The 11,541-nt window shown below is 39.1% G+C and overlaps 1 long non-coding RNA gene across 1 annotated transcript; it reads right to left on the bottom strand.

Annotated features, from left to right (window-relative positions):
• Positions 1-200: 200 nt before the first annotated feature.
• Positions 201-11,090, bottom strand: LINC02374 (long intergenic non-protein coding RNA 2374). Its single transcript, NR_147159.1, has 3 exons — positions 10,934-11,090; positions 4,029-4,289; positions 201-246 (listed from the first exon to the last, which is right to left on the bottom strand). It is a non-coding gene; the product is annotated as a long intergenic non-protein coding RNA 2374 (long non-coding RNA).
• Positions 11,091-11,541: the final 451 nt, after the last annotated feature.

The raw sequence follows: 11,541 nt of genomic DNA, 5'->3' as shown, positions 1-11,541 counted from the left end.
CTTAATTCAGTGACTGTTATGCTAGAGAGGTGTTTTTCAGAGGTACTCCCTGGAAAGAAAATTCATAGAAAAAATCATATTTTGGCTTGCCTGGCAACGTTATTTTCCACCGTGGGGACCGTGGCTGTTTGCTCTGGCTATCATCCGCCCTGCTTGACAGAGTATTAGCCCTCTGAACACATACTAAGAACAAGCTCCAAGAGCTGCACAGTGTCCCTGCTTCAGCTATGAGTTGGCTGACGGTTGCTGCATATTAAAAAAAATAAGATATATTGCTGTGAGGTGTAGCGGAATATTTTCCGTATGAATAGAGCCTAAAGGGAAATGTGGAAAAGAATCACTAATGTTTTAAAAAAGTGTTTTCTTTGTATTTAAGTTGTTTGAAATCTTCCCTTTCTCACACTCTGCGCTGTGGACTGAGGTTTACCAGCTGCTGTTGAGGGGTTTACCCTTGTGGAGGAAAGTCGCTTTCTCCATAACTCTGTATTTGAATGCCTCTCAGGATGAGTGATTCAACTTGGCTTGCTGTTTTTCCTCTTTCTAACCCCACTCACACTCTGTTTTCCTTATCTGAAAAGGGTAAAACTTATAACTTAGTCCTTGAAACAGTGATATTCATGAAGTTACATATGGCCCCAACAAACTTGCCCGCTTTCTACTTCTCACGTTGTTTTGAGTCTCTCACTTCCCAGCCGAGTGTCTGAAATAAAAGACCACATAGTTAGATCTAAGGAAAAAGGGAGCAGAATCCTGCAGCAGCAAGGTAGCTTTGCCGTTTCTCCCCATTTAGAATGTTCTGCTCATTCACCCGGCCACCTAATATCTATCTACTGAGATGTACTAGCCATAAGGTAGGGTATTTGACATCTTAGGGATATAAAAGTCTAAAAAAGACACAATGTCTGTCCTCAAAAAATTAGACTCTAGTATGTAAGAAAAGGTATTTTTAGAGTAAAGAATAACCTAAGAGATATAAGAGTGCTAAACAGAATAGATCAAAAGACATGTGGATAGCAGGAATCAGATAATTATTATAGTCATTGTATTTTATGAATCAGGGAATTATTTTATGGGGAAAGTCCTATTTGATTTGGGACAGGAAAACTGGCTGAATTTCTGTGGGTAGAGAGAGCATGGGAAGAAAGGAACTCAAACCAGGAGGAATGGTGTCAACATTATCACTGAAAAGAACTGACAAGTATTCTGCTTTGCTTGTGACACTTGATTTTACACGCAGGGAACTTGGGGACTGCAAAATCATCGCATCTTTGTCATGTTTCCCATAATGTTCACGCACGATTGTGCATACTTCATTTCTCATACTGTTCATTCCAGTCCTGCCCCTGACTCCTTGACAATGTCCTATGGAACCAAGGAAAGCTTCCCTTTGTCCTTCTCCAATGTAGTCTGCTTACGTTGAAGTTTAAGTCTAAACTATTGCCTCCTGAGGACTGAGAATTGTGCAGAAGTGATGAGGGTGTATGCAGCTGTGGCCCCCAAGTAAATTTTCAAACACATAGCTTCAGCACTGAAAGGAGAACTGGGGACCTGGGTGCTCGGACTGCCATATATCTACATACACATTTTTTTTAGACAGAGTCTTGTTCTGTTTCCCATGCTGGAGGGCAGTAGCACGATCACAGCTCATTGCAGCCTTGAACTCTTGGGCTCAAGAGATTCTCTCACCTCAGACTCCTGAGTAGCTGGGACTATAGGTGCACACCATCACGCCCACCCAATTTTGTAATTTTTTGTAGAGATAGGGTCTCATTAAGTTGACCAGGCTGGTCTCAAACTCCTGGCCTCAAGCGATCCTCCCACTTTGGCCTCCCAAAGTGCTGGGATTACAGACACGAGCCACTTCTCTGGGCCCTTCTGAATGCTCTTAAAGTTTTTCCACAATTACCCAACCCCTGCTTAGATACCACCAGTCACATAGAACTCAGTATTCTTACAAACAGCCTGTTCATCCTTCTGAAAACTCTCACTATCAGGCATTTATTGTTTCACATATGGAATGAAAATGTCATCACCTCCTGCACTCCACTCTTCTCTCCAGGAGGACTGTTTTCAAGAGCAGTCAGGCAACGAGAAAATCCTCTTCCGCTACAGAGATCAACGATTCTTGTATTCACTGATTACAGGTGCTATGAACTAAATGAGTGTGTCCTCCCAAAAGTCATATATTGACATGCTAACTCTCAATGTGATGGTATTTGGAAGTGGGGCATTTGGGAGGGGATTTGGGTTAGATGAAGTTATGAAGGTGAGGTCTTCGTGATGGGATCAGTGTGTGCCCTTATAAAAAGTGGAGGAGACCCAGAATCTGGGGTGCTCATGATGGGATCAGTGTGCGCCCTTATAAAAAGTGGAGGAGACCCAGGATCTGGGGTGCTCGTGATGGGATCAGTGTGTGCCCTTATAAAAAGCAGAGGAGACCCAGGATCTCTTTCTTTCTCCATGCGCCACTCAAAAAGACCAGGTAAGGACATAACCAGGAAGAGGGCCCTCACCAAGCGCCCAACAGCCTGGCAGCCTGACCTCAGCATCCCAACTCCCAGAACTGTGAGAAGGTCATGCCTGTGGTTCAGAGCCGCAGTCGACAACGTTTTGTTACAGCAGCCCAGGCTGACCAAGACCACAGGCTCCTTGCATGGCGAGAGCCACATCCACAGAACTCCTCCTCCTCTCCAGCCTGTGATCTGGAATGCTGAGTGCATCATTTTGTGTTTTTACCACTACATAACAAAAACCTCCAAAATGCTTTCTAAAAATAAAAATCTTGCAATTAGGAATGAATCATGAGGAGATAAAAGAATTCATTCAACTCTCTTGGCAAAAAAACGACGCCTTTATAAACCTCTTTTTATTGTGACTTGTTCTCTGAAGGAACAAAATAGCTTGAGTTTATGGAGCCCTTGTTCCAGAATGTTTACAGCTTGGGTTTAGAAGATGGCGAGAGCGGAGGGGGCCAGAGTGACCACAGTGACTGCACTCTCAGGAATTGTTTACCACAGCCTGGGCTGCCAAAGCCTATTTTGTGAAGGGAGATAATATTAGTCAGGATGCTGGAGAAACCACTGATTGTAAAAAGCACTGTTGACTCTCTTATTAAACAAAAGAGCAAACCTACGCCCAGGGACCAGGAAGCAAAATGGCTCCAAATTTTGCTTTGGCTACAGGAGCATGTCTCCATCTCTAAAGAAAATAAAGAGAATTGCTCTGTATTTCTCAATGTCTTGGAGAGAAATGCTTGTCTGTTGCCAAATGTTTAGTGGAGCCCAGTCGACCTACAGAACATCCAAAATCCTTTGAGTGCTTTTAAGTCAGACTCCAGGTGACTACAGAAACTCCTTTACTACTACAAACAAGTTACTAGGTGCCAAATTCAATGGCCTCTTCTCAGACCTATTCTCCTTATTTGTACGGGGTTGGCCACACCCTCTTTGAAGCTCTTTCCTCCTTTTGGATGTAAATATATCAAGAAGAGCTAACCTAGCTGCAATTCAGAGCTTGAGTGTTAGTGAAGCTAGTTGGCCAATGACATTTCTAGAAATTTTTACAAAAACTGATAGGAAGACATTTTGCTGTTTGATTAAAGAAAAAGGATAGTCCGGGTGCGGTTGCTCACACCTGTAATCCCAGGGCTTTTGGAGGCTGAGGCGGGTGGATCACGAGGTCAGGAGATTGAGACCATCCTGGCTACCACGATGAAACCCCGTCTCTACTAAAAATACAAAAAATTAGCTGGGCATGGTGATGGGCGCCTGTAATTTCAGCTACTCGGGAGGCTGAGGCAGGAGAATTGCTTGAACCCAGGAGGTGGAGGTTGCAGTTAGCTGAGATTGCGCCACTGCACTCTAGCCTCGGTGACAGAGTGAGACCCTTTCTAAAAAAAACAGGAAGAGAGAGAGAGAGAAAAGGAAGGAAGGGAGGGAGGGAGGGGAAAAAGAAAAGAAAAGAGGATAAAGTTGTATCTTTGTTTGCTGTTTGTTTAATTGGAGAAATGGATGTGGTGTGTCTTTTACCTGGGCTTGTTTAGAGTTCCTGTAGAAACAGGGGTCTGAAATCCAGCTCTGGATCACAACCCTGTACAGGGTAGAGAGTGAGGCATTCTCCAACTTCATGTACAAAGTCTCACACACTTGTCTGAAACCTTAAGATCCAGTAGCCTTGGGTCCATCCTTTGGATGGACTTTGGCATCTCATAGTTGGTACCTGGAAGTTGCATAGTGCTGAGTCACCCTTTAGGCAGCTTCATGAGCAAAAGACAGCAAGGAGGAGCAGCCCTATCAGGAAAAGAAGAAGATAGATTCGGTGTAGGGATTCTTCACAAAGGGAAACGCCCCCTTATAAGGACTCTCAGAAGTACTTAAGTGGATTTTTCAGGGAGCCAGGAGTCCTGCAAAACCAGCTGAAAGCACTTACAAAAACTGTGGTTAATGGCTGGGTGCGATTGCTCAGGCCTGTAATCCCAGCACTTTGGGAGGCCAAGGCAGGTGGATCACCTGAGGTCAGGAGTTCAAGACCAGCCTGGCCAATACTAGTAAAAACACAAAAATTAGCCAGGTGTGATGGTGCGTTCCTGTGATCCCCACTTCTCAGGAGATGAGAAAGGAGACTCTCTTGAACCCGGGAGGAGGAGGTTGCAGTGAGCCGAGCTTGCACCAATGCACTCCAGCCTGGGTGACAGAGTGAGACCCTGTCTCAAAAAAAAAAAAAAAAAAAGTGGTTAATGATGTTACGTGATGTTACTTAATGTCAGAGGCCATGGAGGCCTGAAGACACACAAATTACATAGGACTTTTTGTTTCTATTCATTTATTTACAGATGAATATCAATAAAAATAAATAATTCAATAAAAATAATTTATGAGCTCATATTATGGGTCAGACACTATTGTAGGAGCTGGGATCCACCAGGGAAAAGACTGCCAAGACAGTCAAGAGTGCCCTATTGGCTTCCACCAACTGGCGGAGACGAATGATAAACAAGTTAATAAATAAACGTAATGTAACTTCAGGGGGTGATCAGGGCTATAAAGAAAAAGGATGCCTGGCTTGATGGCTCATATCTGTGATCTCAGCACTATGGGAGGCTGAAGGCAGGCAAATCCTTTGAGCCCAGGAGTTCAAAACCACCCTGGGCAACATAATGAGACCCTGTCTCTACAAAAGTACAAAAAATGTAGCTGGACATGATGGCTTGCACTTGTAGTCCCAGCTCCTTGGGAGGCTGAAATGGCAGGATGACTTGAGCTCAGAAGCTCGAGGTTGCAGTGAGCTGAAATTGCACCACTGTACTCCAACCTAGATGACAGAGCAAGACCCTGTGGAAAAAAAGGAAAGGGGAAAGAAGAAAGGAAAAGAAAAAGGGGAAAGAGGAAAGGAAAGGAGAAAGAAAGAGAAAGCAAAGGAAGGGAAAGGAAATAGAGAATGGTTATAGGGAAGTGAATGTGATTTTGTATATTATTGGGTTATTTTGTGTGTTTTTTAAACATCTACATAAATATCAGTTAGTTTTACATTTTTACTGAATATTAGACTCTGACATATTTATATTTTAGTATTTCTAGGTATTGTTTATTTCTTCTAATGAATGACAGCCATCTTATAGATAAACCATAATTTGCACAGCCATTTCCACTTTCTATGGCTATCTTCTATGAAGATAGCCTCCAGCTACTGCCGAATTGAACGTCTTCACACATCTCTGAGCAAAGTCGTTCTGGGGTTTACTCCCAGAAATGAAATTATTGGGTATAAGGCATATGCATAATGTTTTCACCAATATGCCAAATTTGCTCTCAAAATGGTGGTCTCAGATACACTCTTACTGGTAGGATATGAAGGTTACTGTCTATGTATTCCTGCTAACATGTGATATTAACTGATTTATACCTTGGTCAATTTGATGGGTATATATTGATGTTTTATATTAGTTTTAATTTCCATTTATCAGATTACCACTTATGTTGAACAATTTTTTAAACATGTATTCACATTTTTAGTTGAATCTTATGTGAGTTGATTATAACTACTATCCATTTTTAATTGATTTCCTATCTTTTTCTTGAAAGTCAGAAAAATCTAAAGCAAAATATCTAAGCCTATAACCTTTGTGTTTACTTTGACTATTTGTTCTCTTAGCAGACAATTCACCAGGGGTCTGTCATATTTCTGCACTTTTTGCAAGCAAAGACATTGACAGTTTTTGTGCTGTACCATCTTTTCAAGGATGTGTGTATAGTAAACAGCCTTGGATGACAGAGACACTGCCTTCATCTGGATTAGAGGGCATATTTAATGTCCAGTCTAATAAAGATAATATCTCCTTCTGTGACAAAAGTTGGGCAAGTTTATTTGAAGCCTTTTTAAAAATATTGGGGTTTCCTGAACTTGAGGTTTTCTTGCTGTTATGTCAACCCACTGTTAGTGGAGCATCTATCTAGGACCATCTTCATTGCTCCAGTGGACCTTGGGGGCTATGAGAAACCAGCTGAACATGAAGCTCATGCTGCCTGCTGGGCCATGAGTAATAGAATTCTTTGTCTCTGACCCAAGAGTCTCGTATCTTCTCATAGCATCCATAAAACTATGGTACTTTAACTTGTCAGTGTGCAAGTAGAATAAAATCTCAGACTCCTCACTGTTCCTGGCAGTTTCTCTTATTTAAAACAAATTCATAATTTTGATGTAATAAAATATTTGTTAGGAGTATTTCATAAATATGTACCATTTCCCACACACTGCATCACAAGGATCTGTTCCTATATTTTCTCTCATAGTGTTATATATTTGCTTTTAACATTTAGATCTATAGACTATCTGGAGTTTATTTTTTTAATATGATGTGAGGTAGGAATCAAAGTCTTTTTTTCCACATAATGAGCCAATTTTTTAACAGTATTTAATAAATATATTCTTTACCATTGATTTTTTTTAAGTGAGTTCTCACTATATTGCCCAGGCTGGTCTCTAACATCTGTGCTCAAGTTATCCTCCTATCTCAGTCTCTTGTACCACTGATTTCTTGATGCCAGGTCGACCATATTTCAAATCTTTATATATAAAAGGGTATAGTGAACATGTTTTTATTTCTGATTTGTCTATTCATCTGTTTCTATGCTATTACCATGCCCTTTTAATTAATATACTTTTGTAATATGTCTTAATACAATAGATTGGGGCTTCTTTTTCAAAGTCATCTTAGCTAAGTGTTGACAATTGTTCCTCACTGTATTTTTTTAGATTCAGTTTTTCAATTTTTCCAGTAAAATCTAGCTAGAGTTTTTATCAGAAATATTGAATTGAGTTGGAGGGAACTGACATATAATGATGTTTCTTTCCACTTGTTTTGGTTTTCTTTAAAGTTTTTAAATTGAGTTTTAAAAACATATTTATGAAGCAAAAGCTAAAATGCATAAAAATGCATTTTATCTGTTAAGCTAAATCTAAGGTATTTAATTAAATGGTATTAGTATACTATTATATTTAATTTACTGTTTTTAATGTAAATGATGGAATGGATTTTTATGTTGATTTATTTCTTGGAAACCTGAGGAATTTGTAATGCCATGAATAATTTTTTGGGTAGATCTTCTTGAATTTTCTATTAAATGATCAGAGCATCTTCTAACAATGATGTTTTATCTCTTCACTCCTATCTGCATTGGCTAGAACCTTCAGTATCACGTTACCCCTTTCAAGTATTCATTCAAGGATTACTTTCTGACCAATTTATTTAAAATTGTAACTTTTCCCAGTACCCACTATTCCTATTTTTGTTTTATTTTTTCTTCATAGCACATATTACCTACCAATATAACTTATATAATTATTTTACTAATTACCTATTTCTTCTACTAGAATGTAAGCTCTATGAGGGTAGAATTTTTTGGTCTATTTTCTTCACAGCTGCATTCCCAGTACCTAAGAGAGTGTCTGGCACATAGTAGATTGTGGCAGACTGCCACGGTTACTACTTGAGCCTGTCACTATGACAGTTACTACTGTTACTACTTGAGACCATCATCACAGAACTGAACAAAGGAGGACGAACGCAGAAATGAAAACTTAAGACAAAAGAAACTGTTTTAAAGAAGAGGCCAGGGGAAGAAGAGGAGGGCTCCCTGCTTCTAGTGAGCAAAGGCAGCCACCGCTGCTTCTCCTGCCCTTCATATTTTTTGGGTAGAAAGAGCAAGAAGGAGCTAACGATTGATCAGCTGCTTGATTGATCATGGTTCATATTATTGCTAACAGGCTTCAGATGTGCCTATTCACAAGAAACACTTGTGCCTGGGTCTGACTGCCCTTAGCATTCCTTCTGGGTGGCCAGTGCAGTTTGTCAGTTTGCCAACATCCTGCTTTCATGAGAACAGTTCCCTGTTTGCTCATATAGCCTCCGGTGGTATACTGAGTTGATCAAGACCCTCATTCTTTCGGCCTCCAACAGTAGACGACCAGCAAATATTTGCTGAATGAACAAATATTGGACAGGAAAATGAAAGGGGGTATTCTTTTCTTATTCCTGAGATTAAAGGGAATGCCTCTAAAACATGAATACTTTTAGTAAACATAGCTTTTATGATGTTAAAGGTTTTTTTTCTGGTCCAAGTGTTCTACCATGCCTATAATAAATAAAAGTTTAACTTTATCAAATGATTCTTCTCCATATATTGCAAAAGAGGCAGCATAAAAGACTGGTTGAAAACCTGGACGCTGGAGCTAGATTGCATGTACTAAATCTTAGCTTTTCTGCATATTAGCTGAATGACCTTAATTGACCTAATTACATAATCTCCCAGTGCTTCAGTTTTCTCATCTTTAAAATGTGGGTAATATTACCTACCACATATGGCTATTATGAAGATTAAAGGAGTTAATATTTGTAAAGCCTTACACCAATGACTGCTGCAGTGAAAATGTTTTAATAGTGTGGTTAAATATCTACTCAAATAATCATGGAATTTTTCTCCTAAACTCATTAATATGGTGATTTACTTTGTAGAGTTTTCTTTAAACTATGGAAATTTCTACATTTAAGGGATATATCAGGCTTGATCCTATTAAACTCATTTCTTTGCTACTATGTTGGATTCAACTATGTACAATTGTATTTTAGAAATTTGCAACTTGTTTAGAAATAAAATTTACTTACCATTTTCTTTTTTTTTTCCGTGATGCTTAACTTTAAAAATATCACAGTAGTCTCATAAAAGGAGTTAGGCAGTTTTTAGTCCTTTTATGTGTTCTGAAACAACTTATGTAAGACACAGATTGTGTGTTTCCTGAAATTTTGGAAACGCTAACTTGTAGAACATTCTGTACCTAGAGCTTCACTCGTTGAGACAGAAGTAATGAGAGAATGGTTGACGACAAAGATCTCAATGTAGAATCCATTATTTTGTTATAATCCATTCTTTTGCTAATGGTATCTAATTTTAATTCACTGCAGTGAGAAAACATCGTATACATAATGTTTATCCTTTATATTTTATGAACGCTCTCTTCTGGCCTCATACATACTGAATTTTAGGGATATTAACATATGTTCTATTATTCCATATGTATTTGTGTTGGTTGGTGCGTAAATTCTCTGTCTCTCTCTGTCTCTGTCTTTTTGTATGTATATATTACATATGTATAATTACATATAATATATATACACACACGTTACAATTCTAAGTAGAGATTCTTTGTAATAAATTATTCACCAACTACCTGAAGTGTTCGACCCTTGAAAATAAGGGGTTTGCAACTCAGCTCTTCAGATTTCTATTCCTAAGGTCTCTAGAAATGTATATGTAAGATACACATATAACATATATAAAGTTATACATACATAATATTAATAAAGAAAAAATAAAGCTAACTCTTGCACTATTCTCTGTAAATTAGTACCAACAAACAAGTGTTTGTAAACTGTTCTTCATTCCAAATATGTATTCCTTATTCCCTTCCCATTTCCACAGGGAGTCAGCCATGTAATGATCATACAAGTGTTCTAGCTGAACAGTGATGCTCATCATTAACCAGCAAGAACAGGGTCCATATCAGCCAAATAGATTCTTCACTGGTGCTCTTGCTTTGATCTAAGACAATTCAAGATAAATAGGTAATTCAGAATGCTCTTCAAGTTTTAATTCCAGGATAATTTATTAACTGCTTCTTCATGCCTGTAACTGCACACACTATATACTTGTCACTTTAACATAAATTTTATAAAGTCCATAAACTTATTTAATAATATATATATACACACACACACACACATATATATATATATATATGCTTAGAGAGCGGGGAGAGGGGGTCTCACTGTGTTGTCCAGGCTGGAGTGCTGTAGTGCAGTCAGAGCTCACTGTTTCCTTTAAGTCTTTAACTCCTAGGCTCAAGTGATTTTCCTGCCTCAGACTCCTGAGTAGCAGAGACTACAGGCATGCATCACCATGCCCAGCTTTTTAAATTTTTTTGTAGAGACAGGGTAATCCTATGTTGTCCAGGCTGCTCTCAAACTCCTAGCTTCAAGCAATTCTGCTACCAAGCCTCCCAAAGCCCTGGGATTACAGGCATGAGCCACTGTGACCAGAGTAAATGTTAACTTCAAAAACATTATCAATGGCTAAGAAATTAAAATAGTGAATGTCAGTGATTTCTAGAAAATGTTCATCTGTATTCCATTTGGTTTAGAATTATTTGAAGATTTAGAAAAAAGTGACATTCCACAATTTTAGATCATTCCTAAACATATAAAATGTCCTCAAAAATTTAAGTAGGACAGGAAAAAAATTTCAAATAGAATACTACTAATGTTTAAAACTTAAGTATGATGCAGTTCATATTAATAAATTTGATATAATTGTTCTGTATATCCAGAAATGATAAAAACAGAAAGCCAGTTTGCTTTTCATAACCTTGAACTTCAACTTACAGATTCCTGTTTTTGTTTTTGATGATGGGAGATTGTAGCAGTCATATCCCCTCATGACCCCAATTGTTACCATCTCCTGGTGGTCACACATTCATGTAATCCCTCTCACTGAGTGTGGGCAAGACCTGTGACTTGCTTCTAACCGATAGATGATGACAAAGGTGATGGAAGCCACTTCTTTGATTATGTTCTGGAAGACTGTAGCTTAGCAACAGGACTAACATTCACTGTTGTGGGCCTGGGAAAGTAAAGGCCAGTGTTGGAGAAGCCTGAGTGGGTAGGAACTGCCGGTGATGTCTAGGGCCTGAGGGCAGCCTCCAGCAGACTCCAGTGAAAAGCCGAAAGTCTTCAGGCATACTACCTGAAGACAATGAATCCTGCCAAGTCCCTGAAGGAACTTGAGAGCAGATTCTTCTCCAGTTAATCCTCCAGATGATGGTGAAACCTGAGAAACCCCTTGAAACTCTGAGCAGGTGACCCAGACCAGCCGCACCCAGATTCTGACCCCTGGAAATGGTAAGATACTAAATATGTGTTTTAAGTTGCTAAGTTTGTGTTCATTTTTTTATGCAGCAATAGAAAACTAATACATAGATACATGTGATCAG

The sequence above is a fragment of the Homo sapiens genome, chromosome 4 (assembly GCF_000001405.40).
Source record: "Homo sapiens chromosome 4, GRCh38.p14 Primary Assembly".
NCBI classification, from domain to species: Eukaryota; Metazoa; Chordata; class Mammalia; order Primates; family Hominidae; genus Homo; species Homo sapiens.
Note: the sequence above shows the minus strand (reverse complement) of the source record. Positions and strands in the feature narration are given on the sequence as shown.